At 39.2% G+C, this 26,224-nt stretch overlaps 1 long non-coding RNA gene across 1 annotated transcript in view; it reads right to left on the bottom strand.

Annotated features, from left to right (window-relative positions):
• LOC105374111 (uncharacterized) overlaps positions 1–25,825 on the bottom strand; it is a 35,387-nt gene extending 9,562 nt beyond the window's left edge. The window contains exons 1-2 of the long non-coding RNA XR_924489.3: positions 25,745–25,825; positions 18,302–18,390 (exon numbers count right to left, since the gene is read on the bottom strand). This is a non-coding gene — a long non-coding RNA (uncharacterized LOC105374111). The remainder of the gene's footprint in view (positions 1–18,301; positions 18,391–25,744) is intronic.
• Positions 25,826–26,224: the final 399 nt, after the last annotated feature.

Below are 26,224 nucleotides of genomic sequence, written 5' to 3'. Positions count from 1 at the left end.
TAACTTTATGCTATTATCTTATGAGGATGGTTGAGAAGAGTGAGGTCCCATCACTGAGTTTTTATGATGTTCCATTTATTCCAATAGAGGCAGGAGTCAGAGAAGCAGAATAGACTCAGCCAGCTCGCTGGTGGTCCAGGAAATTGGAATCAAGGTATTATGTGTATAAGGCCCTGACTGGGATATTTATCAGTTTAGATCTGTATAGTTTAAACCAAGTATGTATATCTAGAAGTAGTTCTAAAATTAGACTTTTCAGCAGGCAAATATTGGGTCTTGTCTAAAATAGGACCTGGGAACACTAGATGTTGAATTATGGCTGCTCTTCAGCTCAATTTCCAGACGTTTGGTACAATGGAATCAGACAGACTTTGATTCAAACCCACAAACTAGTTTTCTTTCTTTTTTTTTTTTATTATACTTTAAGTTCTAGGGTACATGTGCATAATGTGCAGGTTTGTTACATGTGTATACATGGGCCATGTTGGTGTGCTGCACCCATTAACTCATCATTTACATTAGGTATATCTCCTAATGCTATCCTTCCCCCCTCCACCCACCCCATGACAGGCCCCAGTGTCTGATGTTCCCCTTCTGTTTCCAAGTGTTCTCATTGTTCAATTCCCACCTATAAGTGAGAACATGTGGTGTTTGGTTTTTTGTTCCTGCGATAGTTTGCTGAGAATGATGGTTTCTAGTTTCATCCATGTCCCTACAAAGGACATGAACTCATCCTTTTTTATGGCTTCATAGTGTTCCATGGTGTATATGTGCCTCATTTTCTTAATCCAGTCTATCACTGATGGACATTTGAGTTGGACATACAAACTAGTTTTCACAGCCAACATGGTTAAGACCTCGGCAGTTTCTCCACCTATAAAATGTTGATAATAATAACCATTTGGGATCTTGTAGAATAAAGGGAGAAAACATTTAACAGTTGCCTGAGATGAAGTAGGTACTCACTAAATGATAATTCTTCTCCATGTCTTCCTTCCCACTTCAGGCTTCCCTTGGTGAATTTTCCCTGGACAACTCCCTCCATCCAAAACTACTATTTAGGTTTAGAGTGTTTCAAAGTCACTTGGATATGTATGCAATTGTCTTCAAGCTAATAGAGATAATAATAGTACCTAACAGTAGCTATCTCATGGGTTCATTATAAAGGATGGATGATATAATACAAGCAAAACAGCACAGAACTTGGCAAGTAGCAAGTGGGTACAGGCTAGCTAAGATCTATTACTTGTCTAATGAGTAGAGAAGACAGGAAAAAAACAGTCCTTGAGCCCCGAGTCGATTCTATTCTTCATTGTTCCCATAGTGACACACCACAAGTCAGAAATCCTGAGTTTCAAAAAGTCTTCAAAATATTGTCCCTATTCCCAGTGACCTGACACTACAGTTCAAGTCAACTAGAACCCTGTCTGTTTTCACCTGTATTGTTAGGCCTCTCTCAGTTAGATTTGTTAAGACTATTCCCCAGAAGTAGGCTGCAATGTTTCTGGAAATTCTACACAGGGCTTATTCTGTTTTGCTGGGCTTGGGGAGTAAGGATGAAGACGGGGCTGATGGTGAAACAGGAAAGGGGTGGGATACAGATTAGGTGGTGGAATCTGGAAATCCTCCATTTTACAGAGGAAGAAACATGTCCTAATTTTATCCTTTTCTTGCTCTAGCTTCAGATCATGATGCAAAGCCAAACACACCTCCCCCAACACACCTACAGCAATCTAAGGACAACACCCGGTTCCAAATTACAGCTCTGTGTGCCAATTTTTCATACTCTGTTTTCTTTAGATACTGGTATAATTGAGACTCAGTTTTTTTTTAAATTGCAAGAGAACAGAGAAAAACAGTAACATTGATAAAGAGGTTAAAAAAATTCCTACTCAGAAATGCATATTTGCAGCATAAGAAACATGCAGCTATTTTCAGGTATGTGTAGTACTGCTCCATTAAACTGTAGAATTTTTTTAATGCTTCTCTTTCTGATAATTCCCTGAATCACAATGTGTAGAGAATGGAAGTATGTTATATGAATAGTGAAACAAATTTCTCTCTGTTTTTCTTTTAGCACAACAGGAAGAAAAATTACCATTTTAAAATGCAGAAAATTGAATGTAGCCACTTTTGCAGGCTAAGGAGGATTTTATTTTACATCAAAGGAGGTGGAGAATTAGGACTCTATCTTGATGCTCTCTTTGAGGGTAAAAATTGAGCTCCCTTTCTCCCAGGGCACCATCTCAAAAGTGAGGATGGTAGATAGGAAACAGCAGGGTTCTTCTGCATAATAAACCTGATACATTGAAGGACATTCTGAATTTCTAAGGACTGCCTAGGAAGTGATTGGGTATGTGAGAGGCAAGGGAGCTAGAAGAAGAGAGACAGGTGAGAGGATGCTACAGAGAACTAACTAGAGGCCCCTAAGCTGGCAGGGAGCCAGTGCCTAACCAGGGAACACAGCCAACAAGAGACTGTGAGAGAGAAGAATGCACTTCAGAGCAAAAACATCTTACTTTCCAACATTAAGAGGGTTTCTTAAATTATTGTGGTCCCCATCCTGTTGCTTTGAACCCCAAGTAATGTTTGGTTACACAGACACTGTGCTTTGTGGGAAGAATAAGAGTGAATTCCCAAAGGGCTAATGATGTGCAGGAAGAACTCCAGTTACAGGGGAAGCGGCAAAGTGGAGATTGAGGACTCAGTAGAAGCTGGAAACTTGATCATAAAATGAGATTACCATGGGACAGGTTAAACTCTGTAACAACCCTCAGAAACATTTGCAAGGGACACTGAGGAGAGGAGCAGTGTGGGTGCTGAACTTTCCAAGGAAAGGATAGAGGCTCTGGCAGTTCTGTTTGAAAATTTGTGGACACATAATTCCCAGAAGGTCCCCCAGAGGCAGCTGCTGTGTGTGTGTGTGTGTGTGTGTGTGTGTGTGTGTAGGGTAGAATACTTGGGTAAGGCAATTAACAAATGCTGACACCTTTTCCATACTTATCACTTCACACTTGAGAGAGCTATTTTGTATAAGCCACAAGTCTGAAAGAGAGTCTCAAAGCCTTGATGTGTGCTTCTTGACCGCTGTAGGGGGAGAAAGGTGTGATACTTTCCCTCATCCATCACAGCCAACACTCCTATAACAAAAGGCATGTTGACAAAAGAAGAGCATAACAAATTTATTTACTCTAAGTTTTATATGACATGGGACCCTTCAGCAATGAACACTCAAAGACCCAGGGAAGACTGTCTATGTTTATGCTCAGGTTCAGTGAAGAATGGGGAGCCATGGAAACATGTGATTGGACAAAGGGACATGATCTAATGGTAACAGACTGAAGAGGGAAACACAGCAAGACCTGTCTCTTCAGATTCTTCTTGGCCTTTCTCTGTAGCATTTTACCCCCTCCCCCAGCCTCCCCGCCATGAGGCAGGATCTCTCTGGAATAAGGTTCTTCAAGGCAGAAGGTAGAGAATGACCCTTCTAGGTTTTATGTATGGGTTGCTTTGGGGAAGAGGTCTTCTAATTTCTATTACCCATCTTGTGGAAGAGGAATTCTGGTTTCTATGGCTCATTTTGGGGAAGAAAGAGGGGTGGGAGACAGGAGGGCAGGAGAAGGTCAGAGAGACTTTCTCAGTATGTCAAGGTGCCATATTTTTGTGTATCATATTCTGAGCCCCAACACAGTAAACTATCCCATGTTGCTACATTAGATGCAATCTAAATGAGCAACGCAGATATGACAGGTCAGGGGTAAAATAATTTTGTAGATAAACTTATAATCCTTTTATAAAAGAGGGTCAATTACATTCTTCTTTTCATTCTGCAACTGTGCTATAGATTCCTTTGCAGGGCTGCTGTGTAGACTCACGCTTTTTTGTGTACTGCAAGACGACACCTGGTCAAAGCCAGGAATGAGAGGCTGACATCAGCCTTCAGTCAGCTCAGATGTTGCGTGTCTGTCAGCTAATGGGGGACCAGAAGGTTGAAGGTAAAAATGCATGAGCTTATTGTCATTTTTCTTTTTATTTTACTTCTTTTGTGTCTTTTTGCAAATCTTCAGTGCTCTTTGCACATGTCTTCCGAATATTCTTATTGACTAGTCAAATCTTTAAACTCAATTATTCTGTCATCACTAAGGTGACATTTTTCAATCTCAAATTCTAAAAAAAGATACTATGAAACACTAGACGATGTATCCAATTGGCAAGTTCTTGTGTTTTTCTTAAGGGAAATAAAGCTATTATTCTATGGGAGGCTTGGAAAATGAAAATTTTCTAATAAGAACTCCTATCATATCTATTGTTTGCACTACTTATCACAGGCAGATTTACTTTAGAATTATATATATTGCAACTTGATCTTCCCAGCTAGGTGAGAAGGAGCCATGCTTTATTTACACTGTAAGGTTGGGAGGACAAAGAGATTTCACCTTGATACAATTGGTAGTGGCTGCCTAGAGCAGTATGTTGAGAAAAATGGTGAGGTTGTGTTCGAGTTGGCTCAGTAAGGGACTGCCACAATCAATTAATGATGCCTGCTGTGGGAATGAAAGAGTGGAGGATGCATGTATTATCTGGTCCTATTGTAGGTACTTTTTATAGGATCAACAGAATAGGTAGTCAATAGAACTTTATTTCATTTCATAAATAAAATCCATAACTATCAAAAGAGTTCTAGAATTATCACACTACCCCATCTTCTCTCTGTAGAGGACAAGGAAAAGTATATACCCAAGACCATATTACCATTCAAACCATGACATTCTTGATAGTCATAGGGGGCTGTATTAATAATTACACTGGGAAAGTAGATGTACACTGGGGTTGTTGCTGGTAAAGAAGACTTGCCTCAGGGTTAACCCCTCTAAGAAGCCTTCTTTCAGTCTACCTTTCAGGTTAGGTCTGTGCTTCCAGTAATATCCTATTCATATTTTGATCATGATGCTTATCATACTCTGTTATACTTAACTGTTTTCTCATCTGCATCTCTCATTAAATATTCCATTTTTTGAGAGGATCAAAGTAAAAATCAGATATGAATCTACTGCACATAGAAATACATACACAATATACTATAGACTAAATGTTTATGTCCCACCAAAATTTATTTGTTGAAACCCTAACCCCTAATTTGATGATATTTGGTGGTGGGGCCTTTGAGAGATGATGAGGTCATGAAGGAAGGGCCCTTATGAATGAAATTAGTGCCCTTATAGGAGAGACCCCAGAGATCTTCCTCACCTCTTCTACCATGTAAGGACATAGCAAGAAGACAGCCATCTATGAACTAGGAAATGGGTTCTGTCTCCAGACACCAAATCTGCTGATGCTTTGATTTATGGCATTCCAGCCTCCATAACTATGAGAAATAAATTTCTGCTGTTTATAAGCCACCCAGTCTGTGGTAGTTTGTTATAGCAGCCCAAACAGATTAAGACACAATAGGTGCTCAATTAACGTTAAATGAATAAAATTCTTGTTACTCAAAGTAAAGTCACAAGGCCTTGCCCTCTACCTATTTCCCTCCCAACTTCCTTTCTTTAATATAAAAGAGTCTAAAGGCAGAAAGGGGGAGAATAGAGTTACTAACAAGTTGTTCTTCAGTCTGCTACCACAACATAAATGTTTTATTTCCTGAGGAATTTTCGGATACTGAAGCACTCTGCATTCATTGTCTTGCTTTACTTCTTCACTGTCCCATGAGAGCATGGCTTCAGTACTCTTGTCTGCATTCAACAGATATGAAAGCTGAAGACTATTTGGTTATACTCAGGCTCTACCTGTATACCTAAGGTGATACAACTACTTAGCAGTGGCAAACAGTACTAGGATCTAGGTCTTTTGGTTCCAAATGCAGTATGCAACTTGCTGCTGTTACTTAGAAAACTTAGTAAACATCATATGAGAACACTTTTTATACCTCCTTTGGTTCATCAGTGTTGGCAGACTCAGTAGGAAATGAACTTAGGAAGAAAAAGTCTGTGAAAATGGTGACATTCATAAGATGCCAAAGAAGACAGTAGAGGGCTACAGGCCTCCATTTGTAACCTGCCTGGTTATATCAATTAGGAAAAGTCATAATGAAGCTTCTAGAATCAAATAATAATAGGAGACAGGGTCAACAGGCGAAGCTGAGATGCTAGAGGTACATGCAAAGAACAAAGTCAACTCTTCTTGCTCAGAGCAGCATAGGAAACAGGTAACGATAATTTTGGAAGATTGACTGCCTTATGAAGTTCAGAAAGTTCAGGTCCAGAAGAAGAGTGACTGTAAGGAACATTGTGTCAGACTTCAGAAAGACTGACAACAAAAATAGTCCACTCTCTCAGATACAGCTCTCATCCTCCTGCTTCTTGGTGGGAACCAATGCCCAGCAGAGAGCAGCTTGAGGTCTTTTAAATGATGATGACTGCTAGCAACTGGCTGAATGATGAACATGGCTAAGGGAGACAGCTGAAGCTCCTGGCAGAACATTTTCTCAGACACCCCGTTTTCGAGGAACAGGGAGGGTTACAGAATCAAAGACTCAGAAGAAAATATCGGAGTTGGGAGGATCCACAGCATATTAAGAGTTAGAGTCATATATATTGATGATGGCGTCATACCTTATCCTGTTTCACTGAGCGGTCAAATTTGGAACCATCTCATGATCAGATTATAAATCCTCCTTTTTTACTTTTTAAGGTTGCTCTGATTGGGCATTGGCTTTGCTAATCCTTTAATAACCCCAGTGCTTCATCCATTCACTTATTCATTTCTCTCCACTCATCCCCCCATACCCAAGGAGTTCCAACCCAGTTATCAGACTCTATTGCAAGCTTCTACCCACCGGATTCGGGGTACAGTGACTTGCTGCTGTTGGTGCTTTTCTTTACTCCCATTTCAGTGGTGGTCACATTGTCCGTATTTTCTTCACTAATGGAAGGTGATTATGAAGTTGAGATATCATTTGACAGCTCATGGTTGGTAATGTTTTATTTTTGTTTTTTCTCATTTCCCACTCTGGAGCCACCAATGAAATACTAATGGGCCCTGTGGGAGGTTTTCCTTTATTTAACAGCTAAATGTGTTCAACGATATAAGGTATTGCAAAAAACATACTCAGAGAAGGAAAATTAAAATGAATAAGGGGGAACTGGGGTCTCAGGACAAGGAGTGAGAAAACTCATGAAGCATCCTTTGTAAGTCTGAGACAGGATAAGAGTGGAGGTTGTAAAATCTCAAACGATATGGAAAATCTTAATATGAATTCGTTCACCAAAATTTCCTAAGAAGTCGGAAGAGCCAATTCCAGGATCACTAAAAAAAAGGCACGATTTCATGCAGCAGGGAGTAAACATATGAGATTTGTAACAAGAGGTAGTAGAGCTGAAATACTATTTCTCTGCAAGGAAATAGATGCATTCACTGGCAAAGTCTTCCTTCAAATTATTAGGGGAACCGAAGGGCGTTTGAGCTAAATCACTAATTCAGATGCTGACATAATGGAAGACTATGACGACCTTCAAAACACATTTCTTGGAAGTCATTCTGAGAAACTAAAATCTAGGTTGATAAATTGTGTTTCTGAACTTAACAGTTTATTATTGGTGTTATCAATGATGTTACTATTTCATAAAAATATTTCATAGGCTCATTCTAAGAGATTCCAAAAAATCGAGGCAGTTTATTTCAATAAAGGCCCTCAGATGTTATAATTCTTTAACTGTTTCATGGTCAAAATAACTTCTTTTTTCCTCTACACTTGTAGAACACCTTGTTTCAAGGTAGTCTTGGGTCAGGGTTTCTTGGACTCATAACTTTGTAGACATTGGTCATTGACTTCTGTCATTAAATTTTGCTGTGAAGATTGTGAAGTCAGCGTCTATTTTTCATTCTCATGACTTGCTTTTTTCTCTACTAAATACCTGAATAAATTTTTTTTAGCCTCAGAGTTCAATAACTTATTATTTCAATAATTCTCTCACAATTATTAATTTCTCCTGGAACATTTTGTGTCCTTTCAGTATGTAATTTTTTTTATTTCAAGGAGAATCTCTTCTACTATAACTTTTAATACTTTTTCTGTCCTATTTATTGCATTTTCTATTTCTGGAATAATAATATGCCTTATGTTGGGCCAGTTTTTTCTTCTGTTCTTTGCACCTATTATCTTTTTTTCTTATTATTCTGGGCTGTTTATCTTTTTTTCACTCTGTGTTCACTGTGATTAAGTCTTCCTTATATTTGTAATTGTTTTCAGCTGTGTCTATTATACTCCTTGTTCCATGATGGGTTGTTTTGGTCCTTAGCTTGTTTCCTTATCTTTGCAATCTCAATTTTCCTCTCATCCAATTTAAAAAAATCTTTTGTTTGTGGTCTTATTTTACTGATTTCATTTTCTGTAGAAACCTATAGAAAGATGATTGCATGCAGTACTGTTGGAGAATTTTCTTCCAAGTTAGTTTTGTTTTTTAAACAATTTTTGGCATTTCCCTCTATCTTCTGTCTTGCTTTCTCATTTGGCTGTAGTATATTCTCTTAATGCCACACTCTTACTCTTCATCTTCCATGCAACTCTACGCAGAGTTTCCATTTGTTCTAATAATGTGGACTGATTCTCCTTGACTCTTTTCTTACTCTATCAGTGACTTCTTTGTCTACATTTTCTGAGCTGCTTCGAGGTGTGCATATTGAGTTCTAATTATTTAAAAAAATAGCAGTGGGAGAGATTTTGGGGAGTTCTTCTGGGGCAATATGTGACCTTAGAAGGACCTGGAACTTCTCTTTCTTCTGAGACTTTGTCAAATGTCTTGTCAAAACAAGACATTTGACAAACAAACTTGGTATTTAACAACAAATCAGGACTCGTTGCCCTTGGCTGGAGCTGTTTTCTATTCTTGTGGTGGGGAGACAGGGCAGAGATATCATCTTACTTTAGATAAGTCCTCCAAGTCAGTGTGGCCCTTACTTACATCATCCTGGTTGTTTCACATTGCCATTTCTACTCACCTGTCTTTCCCTCATAGCCATTTCTAATCCTACCAGTAGAAGAATAAAAATAAAACAGTATCAGAAGACTTCATTTCTCATTCACAGTTCTGAGGGGAGAAGTGAGTTTTCCTCTGTTCTCAGTGTACCCACTTCCACACCCTGAAACATGATTTTGGGGTTTTTTTTCATGCTCTGTTAAATCCCTATTATTATTGGGGATGGTTAGATCTGGGTGGTTCTGGCCACTTTGACTTCCTTCTTTCTTCTCTCAGCCTGGGGATGCCCAAGTGGAGAGTGTGAAGTGCTAGGAATTCCTCCCATTCCTTGGAGTTGCCGTGGTGATAGGCACATGTGTTGAGAGCATTTCTATGCCGTCCCCCACATTGCTGACTCGTTGGGGGCTCACTTGGGGACTGTTAGTGATAGTACTCACGTCTGTTGATTTCTTTCTTTCACTCAGCACTTATTCTGCTAAGCTGCACTGGAATTATCTTCTTCATTCCTTGGCTCAGCTGCCATTTTTAAAGTTTATATAATAATGTTGGTTGTAGGTAGTTCTTTTAACTTTTTAATAAGGTATTTTTACTGTTGTTATTATGGTTATGTCTTGGGAAGAGGAAAACCTATGACCTGCCCTTTTACTTGCCAGAACACTTCTCTTGTTACAAATCATTGTTTTTATTCATTTTAGAGGTGCTTCTAGATGGGTGTTTGTAGCAACAGTGACAGTTTAATGATATGTTACAAAAATTGGATTGAGGGAAGGTAAGGTTGTTTAACACTAGTGTTCTAGATATAGTCCTCTGGGGTTCTTCCCAGATGCTAGGAAATATTCTGACTGAAAGTTCATCCAGGAAAACTTTTCTACCTTTGGGGAATATCCACATGGAACAGTAAAAATGGCTTAAAATCAAAAGGGTGTAGTAGAAAAACCGCAAGACTTTCTTCCCCCTAAATAGGCTCAGCCTCAATTCCACACACATATGTGATTTTGGCCAAGTTCTTAAACCTCTTTAGGATTCAGATTTCTTATCTGTAAAAGGGAATGGTATCCCTTATTATACAGACTTATGTGGAGGATTAAATGAGACGACATGTGCATTCAAAGAATCCAATCTAGCATCTAACACTACTTGGGTGCTGGGAAATGGTAGTTTCTTTCTTTGTTTCTCCCCAACTGCCTACCCTACCCCCATTGTCCTTTGTGATCTGCAGATATGGCCACCTAATCTGAGCTAATAGGGTAGAGACCACTTTGCTCAATGAGGAAATGAGTCTGGGAACCTGATAGACATCTTATGTTTCATGGATGCTTTTCCCACCTTATAAAATGATCTCCTTTAACATAAAGATTATGAAGTGAGATCAGATGGTTGGCAGGTGGTAAACTATTTGCTTTCTGATACATCCCAATATAAAAGGTTATGCTTTCCATTAAAATTGAATTCGTGTGAAATCCAGGAAGTCATCAAAAGTGATTATATACTAAACTAATTGTTCTCCCAGCAAGAGCTCTTGACAAGGCCCAGTAAGAATGAATACTTATTAATAAAATGTAGGTACAGAAGGCTGAAACATTTCATTTTAGATGATTGCAGTAGGCATAATTTTTTTGTTTGCCCCCAGCCATGCATGAGGAAAAGGAAGAGTCACGCAGAGAACTGGACTGACAGAGGCACTGTAGGGGACGACAGGGGTGTGTCTGAATTAGAACTCAATACTTGACTTGAATGCCAGCTTGAGAAGTGCCCCACATTGTGTTATGGCCATGGTTACCTCCACTGAGTGAGAGAGATAGCTTGAAAAGCCCAAAGAGGGATGGATGAGCTGGCATGGCATGCAGCTTGTGGCTGCAGAGACAATTAGAGACAAGTTACAGCAGAAACGCAACTGCCACTCCCTTTGTGGGATTATGAAATTGAGCCAAATGTGTAGAAAGTGCTCTCACTCTGTGTAGCCGTTGTTGCCTTTCCTGCAGGAACGATCTGGAAATCTTGGGAAGAACCCACTGTTCATAGGTAATAACAAGCCACAGCAAATTGACACTTTCATTAATACAATGTGTAATGAAAGATGAGCCATACCTAATTAGACTTCTGATTAGCCAGTGGATCACCAGATAACCCCATTTGCTTTCAAAACTTGATTCTATACAAATTATCTGTTTTCTACTAAATAAACTAGGTAATGAAGGAACATACCTCAAAGTAATAAGAGCCATCTATGACCAACTCACAGACAACATTATACTGAATGGGCAAAAGCTGGACACATTCCCCTTGAAAACCAGCACAAGACAAGGATGCCCTCTCTCACCACTCCTATTCAATGTAATTGGAAGTCCTAGCCAGAGCCATCAGGCAAGAGAAAGAAATAAAGGTAATCCAAATAGGAAGAGAGGAAGTCAAACTATCTCTGTTTGTAGACAACATGATTCTATATCTAGAAAACCCTTTGTTTTCTAAAATAAAAATAAAACAGTATCTGAAGATTTCATTCCCATTCATAGTTCTGAGGAGAGAAGTGAGTCTTCCTCTGTTCTAAATGTACCTTCTTCCACACCCTAAAGGCACGTTTGGGGTTTTTTTTTTTTTTTTTTTTGTCATGCTCTGTTAAATCCCTATTATTGTTGGGGATGGTTAGATCTGGCTGGTTCTGAAAAGTTAGCCTCAGCCCAAAAGATCCTTCAGCTGATAAACAACTTCAAGTTTCAGGATGCAAAATCAATGTACAAAAATTGATAGCATTCCTGTACACAAACAACAGCCAAGCCGAGAGCCAAAAGAGAAATGCAATCCCATTCACAATTGCCACAAAAATAATAAAATACCTAGGAATACAGCTAACCAGGGAGGTGAAAGATTTCTATGATGAGAATTATAAAACACTGCTCAAATAAATCAGAAAAGATACAAATAAATAGAAAAACATGATATGCTCATGGACGGGAAGAATCAATATTATTAAAATGGCCATACTGACCAAAGCAATTTACAGATTCAGTGCTATTCCTATCAAACTACCAAAGACATTCTTTACAGAACCAGAAAAAACTATTTTAAAATTCATATGGAACAAAAAAGAGCCCGAATACCCAAGGCAATCCTAAGCAAAAATAAAAAAGCTGGAGGCATCATGTTACCCAACTTCAAACTATACTACAGGGCTACAGTAACCAAAACAGCATGGTACTAGTACAAAAACAGGTACATAGACCAATGGAACAGAATAAAGAGCCAAAAAATAAGGCCACACACTTACACTATCTGATCTTCAACAAAGCTGACAAAAAACAAGCGACAAGGAAAGACTTCCCTATTGAACAAATGGTGCTGGGATAACTGGCTAGCCATATGCAGAAAGGACCCCTTTCTTACACCATATAGAAAAATCAACTCAAGATAGATTAAAGACTTACAGGTAAAACACCAAACTATAAAAACCCTGGAAGACAATCTAAGCAATACCATCTTGGTCATAGGAACGAGCAAAGATTTCATGACAAAGACACCAAAAGCAATTTCAAAAAAGCAAAAATTGACAAGTTGGGTCTAATTTAACTTAAAAGCTTCTGTACAGCAAAATAAGCTATCAATGGAGTAAACAGGCAACCTACAGAATGGGAGAAAATATTTGAAAACTATGCATCTGACAAAGGTCTAATATCCAGCATCTATAAGCAACTCAAATTTACAAGAAGAAACAAACAACCCCATTAAAAAGTGGGCAGAGGACATGAACAGACACTGTTCAAAAGAAGACATACATATGGCCAACAAGTGTATATTAAAAAGCTGAATATGGCTAATTATTAGAGAAATGCAAATCAAAACCACAATGAGATACCATCTCACACCAGTCAGAATGGCTGCTATTAAAAAGTCAAAAAATAACAGATGCTGCTGAGGTTGTGGAAAAAAGGAAACACTTATATACTGTTGGTGGGAGTGTAAATTAGTTCAACCATTGTGGAAAGCAGTATGGTGATTCCTCAAAGAGCTAAAAGCAGAACGACTGTTTGACCCAGCAATCCCATTACTGGGCATATGCCCAGAAGAATATAAATCATTCTATCATAAAGACACATGCATGCAAATGTTCATTCCAGCACTATTCACAATAGCAAAGACATGGAATCAACCTAAATGCCCATCAATGACAGATAAAGAAAATGTGATACATATACACCATGGAATACTATGCAGCCATAAAAAGAATGAAATCATGTCTTTTGTGGGAACATTAATGGAGCTTGAGGTTATTACACTTAGCAAAATAACACACAAGAACAGAAAACAAAATATCTCATGTTCTCACTTGTAAGCGGGAGCTAAATGATGAGAACTCATGAACGCAAAGAAGGAAACAGCAGATACTGGGGTCTACTTGAGAGTGGAGGGTGGGAGGAGGGAGAGGAGCAGAAAGATAACTATTGGGTACTGGGCTTCATACCTACGTGATGAAATTATCTGTACAACAAACCCTTGTGACATGAGTTCACCTATGTAACAAACCCGAACAGGGTTCACATGTACCCTGAACCTAAAATTTAATTTAAAAAAAAAAAAAAGAAAACTTTGCCAGAAAAGATTGCAAAGCCAAAAAAACCTGACCTAATTATATGTTTCATTGCTTCCATAATTATATTACTCTGTACATAATAACATTTGCAATGAGGATTTTGTTCTTAATTCACTCTGAAGAAACACTATCAGCATTGAGATTGTTAAAAGCACCAAGCTTTAAAGGAAACCCTACTGGGCTCAGAACACACCCTTAGAAATATTTCGTCCTTCTTAAGTTGTGGGCTCAATTGTGTCCTCCCACAACTCATATGTTGAAGTGCTAACCCCTAGTGAGAATGTGACTATATTTAGTTATAGGTAATTGAGTTAAAATGAGGTATTTATGCTGGGCTGTAATCCAATAAGATTGCTGTTCTTTCTTCTAAGAAGAGGAAAGTTGGCCACAGACACATGCATGCAGAGTGAAGATGATGTGAAGACACAGGGAGAAGATGGCCATCTACAAACCAGGGAAAGAGTTCTGAAACAGATTCTTCCCTCACAGTCCTCAAGTGGGAACCAACTCTGCTGACACCCTGATTTCAGACTTGTAGCCTCCAGAACACTGAGGCAATATCTTTCCGTTGTTTAAGCCCCCCGAGCCTGCGGCACTCTGTTACAGCATCCCTGGCAAGCTAATACATGCACTTTCCAGTTTTTCCTCTAATACTGACTTCTCTGGCCTTGTTTCCTTTTTCCCTTCTTTCACCTCATCTGTCTCTCTAGTATTCATTCTAAACTGTGCCCCTTTCTTCCCATGGTTAGGTATGAACATCAATGGGAGTGAAATTGAAAGATGAGAGGAAATTCTAATACATGAAGTTTCTGGTTACTTGTAATTGAAGTGAGGGATAATTTCAGTTTTAATAAAATGTATTGCTTTAAATATCAACTTCCTGCAAATGACCACTTGATAATATTTATATTACTTTTATCAGGAAATCAGGCAGCTTTCTAGGGATCTTATGTTTGGTAATAATAGCAGAGAACATCAGAACAATGAGGTTTTAAAGAATAAAATTTTTAGACACACTTTAAAACCCTACTTTAAGACCTTTTCACTTTTAAAACTAAAAACTGATCATCCAACACTAATAAGGTGGAAGACTAAATTATACTGTTGAAGAAGTGGGAGAGTAAAATTTCATCAGTTAAGTGAGTATGAAATTTAAAGGCTTTAAAATGTGTCTTTAAAACATTCTCTTTCAGCTCATAAATGTAAAAACAATATAAAGCTCAATTTGGGTTCCCCTTAAAGTCGACCCTAAGTCAAGGATTTTTGTTAAGTGATTTATCTGGAAGTTGATCCCAGGAAGCAGAAGTTGGGGACAGGGCAGTAGACCCAGGGGTCAGAAATCCAATAGAGATTTTTTAATGAGTGGGTGATCACTATGTGCACAAAGGGCTCAGTCTCAATGAGGAGCCTCGGAGAGACTATCTAGAACACACCTTAGCATTGTCCCATGAAAGGACAAGGAAGTTGGAATATTTATACACAATTTCCATTTACCCTTGGTTGAGAGTCACTCTTGGTGGCATTGACTTGCTTATATTTTGGCCTGCTCCATGCTGGTGGCCAGAGGATGCTGTCTGACACAAATGTAGGCAGTTATCTCTGTATGCCAACTGTCCACAGGTGGTCTCAGACTTGGGCAGAGGAAGCTTGGTGAGGGGTGGGAAGGGAGGATACCAACAGCATTTGCTACAGTTAAGTAAAACCCATAGTCAAATAATGCTATACATTTGAACTGTCCAGGTATTTTTGAATTAACACTAAGTGATCCCCAAGTCACATGGATTTTTGCCTTGTGAATATCTGAAATCACCCAGTTCATCCATCCTCACTGTCACCACATGGGTTTAGGCCACCATCATTTTTCACCCAGATCACTATCCATCCCTGCCTCCAGTCTTGCTCATCATCAGTCAATTCTCCACCCAGCTGCTAGAGGGAGTTTTCTAAGGTGGAAATGAAGTCACGCCAGTCCTCTTTTAAAAATCTCCAATGACTCCTTGAAGTCTACTCTTCCATGACCTGCCTCCCTCCTGTCTCTTCCCTCTCATGATTCCCACTGGACTTATGCCACTGAGTCAACAACCAATCTCTGTTTCCATCTCCAGACTCACCTCGATCTTCCTCAGGCCTCTCTCTTCCATCTCTCTCCCAACCATCTCTACTTCTGGATTTTTATGCACACAATCCTTCCTTTGCCCTTTCCTTCTCCCTTACTCCCATTTTTCTGACTGCCTCTTACTGACTCTTCATGTCTGAGCCTAAATATGATCTCTACAGGAAATTTTTCCTTTTCCCTAGACCCTGTTAACTCCCCCAGACTTCCACTGCCATAGCAGCTTACAAATTCTCTATACAATTTCACTATATTTTATTAGAGCTGTTTCATGTCTGCCACCCATGAAAATATCAGTCTATCTGTTTTTGGCTTTATATCTTCAGTGACTAACAGAGTACTTGACACATAACAGGTGCTCAGTGTCTATTTGTTGAGTGAAGGACAATGTTCAACATTTATTTTTGATTCAGTGCTTCTATGATTCCCCGAAGGAGGCATTCAGGAAGAATAAATGAACCTCAAATAAATAAACTTGCTACTTGTGGCAATTTTAATTAGAGGCTGTGAATTGTAGTGTCTGTGTACTACTGTTCCATGTTTTTTATGGATGAGAGAGTACTTAGCAAACACAAATGGGGTTTGATGTCTAGTTGATTTGATATCTGTAAGAAGCAAAGGTATTATGTATTGAATCTCTTCCTACAAACCTGTAATCTGAACCACACTCTTAAATGACCTGACCAATATCCTTTTTATCCTACTTGTGGTGACTTTAATTGTAAACCTTGCTAATATTGGTAGGAAACAACAGGTGCTGTTTTCTAAGGTGGAAATGAAGTCACTCCAGGTGCTGGAGAGGATGTGGAGAAATAGGAACACTTTTACACCGTTGGTGGGACTGTAAGCTGGTTCAACCATTGTGGAAGACAGTGTGGCGATTCCTCAAGGATCTAGAACTAGAAATACCATTTGACCCAGCCATCCCATTACTGGGTATATACCCAAAGGATTATAAATCATGCTGCTATAAAGACACATGCAAACGTATGTTTATTGTGGCACTATTCACAATATCAAAGACTTGGAACCAACCCAAATGTCCGTCAATGATAGACTGGATTAAGAAAATGTGGCACATATACACCATGGAATACTATGCAGCCATAAAAGAGGATGAGTTCCTGTCCTTTGTAGGGACATGGATGAAGCTGGAAACCATTATTCTCAGCAAACTATTGCAGGGACAAAACACCAAACACCACATGTTCTCACTCATAGGTGGGACTTGAACAATGAGAACACTTGGACACAGGAAGGAGAACGTCACACACCAGGGCCTGTCGTTGGGTGAGGGGAGGGGGGAGGGATAGCATTAGGAGATATACCTAATGTAAATGAGGAGTTAATGGGTGCAGCACACCAACATGGCCCATGTATACATATGTAACAAACCTGCATTTTGTGCACATGTACCCTAGAACTTAAAGTATAATAATAAAAAAAAATTGGTAGTCTGGGGTTGAATAGTAAAATCTCTGAGATAATAAAGGCAGAGAGGATGTTTCTGTGGTCAGTTTAGAAAGAGTCATGTTTCTGCCTAAGGCAGATAACTTTTTAAATTCGGGACAAATCTGAGAGCTACCCTTTCTATCCTGAAAGAGTGGAATGTTAAATGTTATTTCACTGATGCAGAATAGATGAAATAAAGTGACTTCCAGTTAGAGAAATATAGGAATGGAAAACTAGGTCAAACAGAGAGAAGCCATTCCCAAGGCAATGAGCAACAGCATTTGGATTTAGCAGAGCATGTTTGAATAACTGCTCTAAAAAATAGTCAATAAAGCCTCTGCATTAAGAAATGTAACTTCGAGTGGTTACTAATCAAGAGAATAAAAATTTTCTGCCAGTCATGGTAAGGCAGCCATGCTATGAGGACTGTTACATCACAGAATGATGCTGAGAAGAAGCTCATTAGAACCCATATAATGTAAGAAGATAGCATATCCAGGCCAGACCACACTGAAGGAAATTCACTTGGTTATGCCTACTTCCATGCCTGGAACTTTTGCTTAGGATTTTTGCAGTTTCTGGGAAGGAGGCTGTCTTAGACAATTTTCCTCTGCTATTACAGAAGACCACAAACTGAGTTATTTTTAAAGAACAGCAATTTCTTTGGCCGACAGTTCTGGAGGCTGGAAAGTCCAAGATCCAGAGGCTGCATTTGGTGAGGGCTTTTTTACTGCATTATAACATGGTGGAAAGGCAAAGAAGTATGTGAGACAGAGAGAGAAATGGGGTCAAAGTGGGTTAGTTATCCCAGGAGAGGGTTCCTGATAAAAGAAACTCAGTCCTGGGATAACTAATCCACTTCCATAAAAATTAACACCTTTATGAAGGCTCCACCCTCATGACCTAATCACCTCTTAAAGGCCCCATCTCCCAATACTGTTACATTGGTAATTAAATTTCAACATGGGTTTTGGAGAGGACAGTCAAATCATAGCAGAGGCAATGGAACTCAAACATGATACTATGAGTATATATTCTTTATACTGCAGTTAGTGATATAGTAAAACATATAGAGATCTCATCTTCTAATGGGGGTTCAGTTATACTCAAATAAGTCTTCTGTTATTTTCATAAAATTCCAGCATTTAAAAAATATACATAAAAACTGAGTGTTACCAAGATGTTGAATCCTCAAATGGGCAAAGCCATACAAGTAATTCCTCCTCTCCACTCGTCCAGAATCCCAAATAAACTTCTGTTTGCATCTGAAATGATGGGTAGAAGAAGAGTTATGCCATCTGGAACTTACGTTCTTATTGGGCAGAGGTAGTATCTTGCCCAATAAGATGGTATGTCCCATACCATCTCAGCATATATGGATATACAACATATGCCCTGTAAATCACTATGAATGTAGTCATGGAAAAATATGTAGTGACAAATGCAGACTCATTATTAGCTGTAGCCAGCACCCATCTCTCTCTTTTTAATGATATTCCAAATTGTATTCAATAAGCCATACTTCCCTGCACAACCCAATTATTTGGGGAGTGGGAAGCTTAAGCCATCAGCATATTATATTACCCTGGTCCCTGTACTGGCTCTTTACTGGCCATGTGGCCTAAGTGATCTAATCAGAACAAACCTTGGAACTTTTGCTTAGGGTTTTTGGATGGGAGTGTTTTCTCTCACCCCTTGGACCTGTGGATGTGTAGCCTGAGCAGTTGCAGCTATATCACAGTATGCCAGAGAAAACAGAACCAGAGTTACTGGATAAAACCATCTTTGATAATTATCTTGTCTCTGGATTCTTCTAGCTACATAAGCCAACCAATCCTTGATTGTTTAAGCTAGTCTGCATTCATTGTTCCTTATAACCAAAAATATTCCAACTTGCTTTCTTGTATACTAGTACTAAGAATTATGAAAATTTGTTTTGGGGTTAAAGCATGCAAGAAGAATAACAACATATTATTTATTAATTCAACAAATATTTATTGAGAGTCTACTGTGTACAAAGCTCCATTCTAGCCTCGGGTATAGAATGGCAGATGAAATAGGTAGTAAGTTAAGGAATACAGACAATTAAGCCAGCAAATACAATACAAGGTGGTAAATGCTATAGTAGCATAAGTATAGACTACTGGTAGGCATATAACAAGAGCATATTATTAAGTGGGTCCCTGACCCCCGAGTAGCCTAACTGGGAGGCACCCCCCAGTAGGGGCAAACTGACACCTCACATGGCCGGGTACCCCTCTGAGACAAAACTTCCAGAGGAACGGTCAGGCAGCAACATTTGCTGTTCACCAATATTCGCTGTTCTGCAGCCTCCGCTGCTGACACCCAGGAAAACAGGGTCTGGAGTGGACCTCCGGCAAACTCCAACAGACCTGCAGTTGAGGGTCCTGACTGATAGAAGGAAAACTAACAAACAGAAAGGACATCCACACCAAAACCCCATTTGTACGTCACCATCATCAAAGACCAAAGGTAGATAAAACCACAAAGATGGGGAAAAAACAGAGCAGAAAAAATGAAAATTCTAAAAATCAGAGCGCCTTTCCTCCTTCAAAGGAACGCAGCTCCTCACCAGCAATGGAACAAAGCTGGACGGAGAATGACTTCGATGAGTTGAGGGAAGAAGGCTTCAGACAATCAAACTTTTCCAAGCTAAAGGAGGAAGTTCGAACCCATGGCAAAGAATTTAAAAACCTTGAAAAAAGATTAGACGAATGACTAACTAGAATAACCAATGCAGGGAAGTCCTTAAAGGACCTGCTGGAGCTGAAAACCATGGCACAAGAACTACGTGACGAATGCATAAGCTTCAGTAGCCAATTCAGTCAACTGGAAGAAAGGGTATCAGTGATGGAAGATCAAATGAATGAAACGAAGTGAGAAGAGAAGTTTAGAGAAAAAAGAACAAAAAGAAATGAACAAAGACTCCAAGAAATATGGGACTATGTGAAAAGACCAAATCTACGTCTGATTGGTGTACCTGAAAGTGTTGGGGAGAATGGAACCAAGTTGGAAAACATGCTGCAGGAAAACTTCCCCAACCTAGCAAGGCAGGCCAACATTCAGATTCAGGAAATACAGAGAATGCCACAAAGATACTCCTCGAGAAGAGCAACTCCAAGACACATAATTGTCAGATTCACCAAAGTTGAAATGAAGGAAAAAATGTTAAGGGCAGCCAGAGAGAAAGGTCGGGTTACCCACAAAGGGAAGTCCATCAGACTAACAGCTGATCTCTCAGCAGAAACTCTACAAGCCAGAAGACAGTGGGGGCCAATATTCAACATTCTTAAAGAAAAGAATTTTCAACCTAGAATTTCATATCCAGCCAAACTAAGCTTCATAAGTGAAGGAGAAATAAAATACTTTACAGACAAGCAAATGCTGAGAGATTTTGTCATCACCAGGCCTGCCCTACAACAGCTCCTGAAGGAAGCACTAAACATGGAAAGGAACAACCGGTACCAGCCACTGCAAAAACATGCCAAATTGTAAAGACCATCGAGGCTAGGAAGAAACTGCATCAACTAATGAGCAAAATAACCAGCTAGCATCATAATGACAGGATCGAATTCACACATAACAATATTAACCTTAAATGTAAATGGGCTAAATGCTCCAATTAAAAGACCCAGTGGCAAACTGGATAAAGAGTCAAGACCCATCAGTGTTCTGTACTCAGGAAATCCATCTCATGTGCAGAGACACACATAGGCTCAAAATAAAGGGATGGAGGAAGATCTACCAAGCAAATGGAAAACAAAAAATGTCAGGGTTTGCAATGCTAGTCTCTGATAAAACAGACTTTAAACAGACAAAGATAAAAAAAGACAAGGGCATTACATAATGGTAAAGGGATCAATTCAACAAGAAGAGCTAACTATCCTAAATATATATGCCCCCAATACAGGAGCACCCAGATTCATAAAGCAAGTCCTTAGAGACCTACAAAGAGACTTAGACTCCCACACAATAATAATGGGAGACTTTAACACCCCACTGTCAATATTAGACAGATCAATGAGACAGAAAGTTAACAAGGATATCCAGGAATTGAACTCAGCTCTGCACCAAGCGGACCTAATAGACATCTACAGAACTCTCCACCCCAAATCAACAGAATATATATTCTTCTCAGCACCACACCACACTTATTCCAAAATTGACCACATAGTTGGAAGTAAAGCACTCCTCAGCAAATGTAAAAGAACAGAAATTATAACAAACTGTCTCTCAGACCACAGTGCAATCAAACTAGAATTCAGGATTAAGAAACTCACTCCAAACCGCTCAACTACATGGAAACTGAACAACCTGCTCCTGAATGACTACTGGGTACATAAGGAAATGAAGGGAGAAATAAAGATGTTCTTTGAAACCAACGAGAACAAAGATACAACATACCAGAATCTCTGGGACACATTTAAAGCAGTGTGTAGAGCGAAATTTATAGCACTAAATGCCCACAAGGGAAAGCAGGAAAGATCTAAAATTGACACCCTAACTTCACAATTAAAAGAACTAGAAAAGCAAAAGCAAACACATTCAAAAGCTAGCAGAAGGCAAGAAATAACTAAGATCAGAGCAGAACTGAAGGAGATAGAGTCAAAAAAACCCTTCAAAAAATCAATGAATCCAGGAGCTGGTTTTTTGAAAAGATCAACAAAATTGATAGACCGCTAGCAAGACTAATAAAGAAGAAAAGACAAGAATCAAATAGATGCAATAAAAAATGATAAAGGGGATATCACCACCAATCCCACAGAAATACAAACTACCATCAGAGAATACTATAAACACCTCTATGCAAATAAACTAGAAAATCTAGAAGAAATGGATAAATTCCTCGATACATACACCCTCCCAAGACTAAACCAGGAAGAAGTTGAATCTCTGAATAGACCAATAAGAGGCTCTGAAATTGAGGCAATAATTAATAGCTTACCAACCAAAAAAAGTCCAGGACCAGATGGATTCACAGCCGAATTCTACCAGAGGTACACGGAGGATCTGGTACCATTCCTTCTGAAACTATTCTAATCAATAGAAAAAGAGGGAATCCTCCCTAACTCATTTTATGAGGCCAGCATCATCCTGATTCCAAAGCCAGGCAGAGACACAACAAAAAAAGAGAATTTTAGACCAATATCCCTGATGAACATCGTTGCAAAAATCCTCAATAAAATACTGGCAAACCAAATCCAGCAACACATCAAAAAGTTTATCCACCATGATCAAGTGGTCTTCATCCCTGGGATGCAACGCTGGTTCAACATACACAAATCAATCAATGTAATCCAGCATATAAACAGAACCAATGACAAAAACCACATGATTATCTCAAGAGATGCAGAAAAGGCCTTTGACAAAATTCAACAGCCCTTCAGGCTAAAAACTCTCAATAAATTAGGTATTGATGGGACGTATCTCAAAATAATAAGAGCTATTTATGACAAACCCATAACCAATATCATACTGAATGGGCAAAAACTGGAAGCATTCCCTTTGAAAACTGGCACAAGACAGGGATGCCCTGTCTCACCACTCCTATTCAACACAGTGTTGGAAGTTCTAGCCAGGACAATCAGGCAGGAGAAGGAAATAAAGGGTATTCAATTAGGAAAAGAGGAAGTCAAATTGTCCCTGTTTGCAGATGACATGATTGTATATCTAGAAAACCCCATCGTCTCAGCCCAAAATCTCCTTAAGCTGATAAGCAACTTCAGCAAAGTCTCAAGATACAAAATCAATGTGCAAAAATCACAAGCATTCTTATACACCAATAACAGACAAACAGAGAGCCAAATCATGAGTGAACTCCCATTCACAATTGCTTCAAAGAGAATAAAATACCTAGGAATACAACTTACAAGGGATGTGAAGGACCTCTTCAAGGAGAACTACAATCCATTGCTCAACGAAATAAAACAGGACACAAACAAATGGAAGAACATTCCATGCTCATGGATAGGAAGAATCAATATCGTGAAAATGGCCATACTGCCCGAGGTAATTTATGGATTCAATGCCATCCCCATCAAGCTACCAATGACTTTCTTCACAGAATTGGAAAAAACTACTTTAAGGTTCATATGGAACCAAAAAAGAGCCCGCATTGCCAAGTCAATCCTAAGCCAAAAGAACAAAGCTGGAGGCATCATGCTACCTGACTTCAAACTATACTACAAGGCTACAGTAACCAAAACAGCATGGTACTGGTACCAAAACAGAGATATAGACCAATGGAACAGAACAGAGCCCTCAGAAATAATGCCAGACATCTACAACTATCTGATCTTTGACAAACCTGACAAAAAGAAGAAATGGGGAAAGGATTCCCTATTTAATAAATGGTGCTGGGAAAACTGGCTAGCCATATGTAGAAAGCTGAAACTGGATCCCTTCCTTACATCTTATACAAAAATTAATTCAAGATGGATTAAAGACTTAAATGTCAGACCTAAAACCATAAAAACCCTAGAAGAAAACCTAGGCAATACCATTCAGGACATAGGCATGGGCAAGGACTTCATGTCTAAAACACCAAAAGCAATGGCAACAAAAGCCAAAATTGACAAATGGGATCTAAATAAACTAAAGAGCTTCTGCACAGCAAAAGAAGCTACCATCGGAGTGAACAGGCAACCTACAGAATGGGAGAAAATTTTTGCAATCTACCCATCTGACAAAGGGCTAATATCCAGAATCTACAAAGAACCCAAACAAATTTACAGGAAGAAAACAACCCCATCAACAAGTGGGTGAAGGATATGAACAGATACTTCTCAAAAGAAGACATTTATGCAGCCAACAGACACATGAAAAAATGCTCATCATCACTGGCCATCAGAGAAATGCAAATCAAATCCACAGTGAGGTACCATCTCACACCAGTTAGAAAGGTGATCATTAAAAAGTCAGGAAACAACAGGTGCTGGAGAGGATGTGGAGAAATAGGAACACTTTTACACTGTTGGTGGGACTGTAAGCTAGTTCAACCATTGTGGAAGTCAGTGTGGCAATTCCTCAGGGATCTAGAACTAGAAATACCATTTGACCCAGCCATCCCATTACTGGGTATATACCCAAAGGATTATAAATCATGCTGCTATAAAGACAGATGCACACGTATGTTTATTGCAGCACTATTCACAATAGCAAAGACTTGGAACCAACCCAAATGTCCAACAATGATAGACTGGATTAAGAAAATGTGGCACATATACACCATGGAATACTATGCAGCCATAAAAAAGGATGAGTTCCTGTCCTTTGTAGGGACATGGATGAAACTGGAAACCATCATTCTCAGCAAACTATCACAAGGACAAAAAACCAAACACCGCATGTTCTCACTCATAGGTGGGAATTGAACAGTGAGAACACTTGGACACAGGAAGGGGAACATCACACACTGGGGCCTGTCGTGGGGTAGTGGGGATGGGGGAGGGATAGCATTAGGAGATATACCTAATGTAAATGATGAGTTAATGGGTGCAGCACACCAACATGGCACATGTATACATATGTAACAAACCTGCACACGTTGTGCACCTGTACCCTAAAACTTAAAGTATAATAATAATAAACATATTATCATTTAGGAGATTCAAGGGAAGCTTTCAGCAGAAGGGAAATTTCTTTAAATACTTAAAAAATCAGCCAAAAATTGTTGTGTGTGTGTGTGTGTGTGTGCGTGCATGCACATGCACATAAAAGGCATTCTCAGAGAGGAAACAGCATGTGGGAAGGCTTGGAAACAGAGGTTGAAATATCTGAAACAAACGCGAGAGCTGGGTAGGGTGGATTCATGCCCGTAGTCCCAGCACCTATGGAGGCTGAGGCAGGAGGGTTTCTTGAGCCCTGGAGCTCGAGGCTGCAGGGAGTCATGATGGTACTACTGTACTCCAGCCTGGTGACAGAGGGAAACAGTGACTCAAATTAAAAAAAAAAAGAAGGAAAGAAAAAATAAATGAAGAAAGAAATTTGTCTGGCTAGAGCACAGACGTTGGGGAACTAGAGAGGGTCATAGAATGAGACCAAGCAGGAAAAATAGAAAGGACTGGATCATGCAGGACCTTGCAGGCCAGGCTAAGGAGTTCAGATGACCCTAGGAACAATGGGAAAATATTGAAGGGTATTAGGCAGAGAAATGGCATGATCTAATTCACTTTATTGCTCATTCAAAGGAAGGCAATTTGAAAGTTATAAACTAGGGACAGACAAATTCAAGACCAGAAAATAAGTTACCAAAAATGCAGAAGTCAGGGGAAATAAGGCCATCAGGGATTAACTAAGCTGTTATTAAACAAGTTTTGATAGATGGAGAGAGTCAGAGAATAAGCAAAGGAGACAAAGGGAAAAGGATTGAAGAGAGACTCCAAACAAAAGATGGAAGATCAAGACAGAGCCTCACAGGGAGAAAGAAAAGGAGTGCTGAGTGGTTGTCCCAAGTGCCTTGCTTTTAAGAGAGAGGAAAATTAGTTTGTCAAAAACAGTCCAGTTGTCATCATGAACCAATTACAGATTTACACCAAGATGAATGCATTTGATTTAGACTATGTTTTTGAAGTTAAAAAATAGCTCTCTCTAACCTACCTCATTCTCTCCATTGAATAGATTGTTCTCTGCAAACATATACAGATGCACACACATTACATACTATCCAGAAGACAGCTGGGGAAGTGATTTCAGTTTTGTCATATTTAAATAGCTATGACATTTGGTTTTGTTAGTTTTTCTTCTTGTTTCCATTCTACTGGCAGAGGTTGTAGTGGAAGAAGAAACCTTAGATTTATTTAGTGCTTGGATTGAATCTTGAGTTTCCCCACTTACTAGCTGTGCCTCCTTGGATAAATTATTTCATCTCTCTATGCCTTAATTTCATCCTATCTTAAAAGGAAATAAGACTATCATCTTGTATCAATTAACTATTGCTGTACAGCAAACCACCTCCCAAAGTCAGTGGCTTAAAATAACAAACACTTGTTAGTTCATAGTTCTGCTCTGGCTCAGCTGTTTTGGGCATGGCTTACTCAAGTGTTTATGGCCAACCGAGGGTTGACTGGGGGTTGGTTT

The sequence above is a fragment of the Homo sapiens genome, chromosome 3, assembly GCF_000001405.40.
Source record: "Homo sapiens chromosome 3, GRCh38.p14 Primary Assembly".
Lineage (NCBI taxonomy): Eukaryota > Metazoa > Chordata > Mammalia > Primates > Hominidae > Homo > Homo sapiens.
The sequence above is the reverse complement of the archived record's forward strand: the minus strand, read 5'-3'. Positions and strand labels throughout refer to the sequence as shown.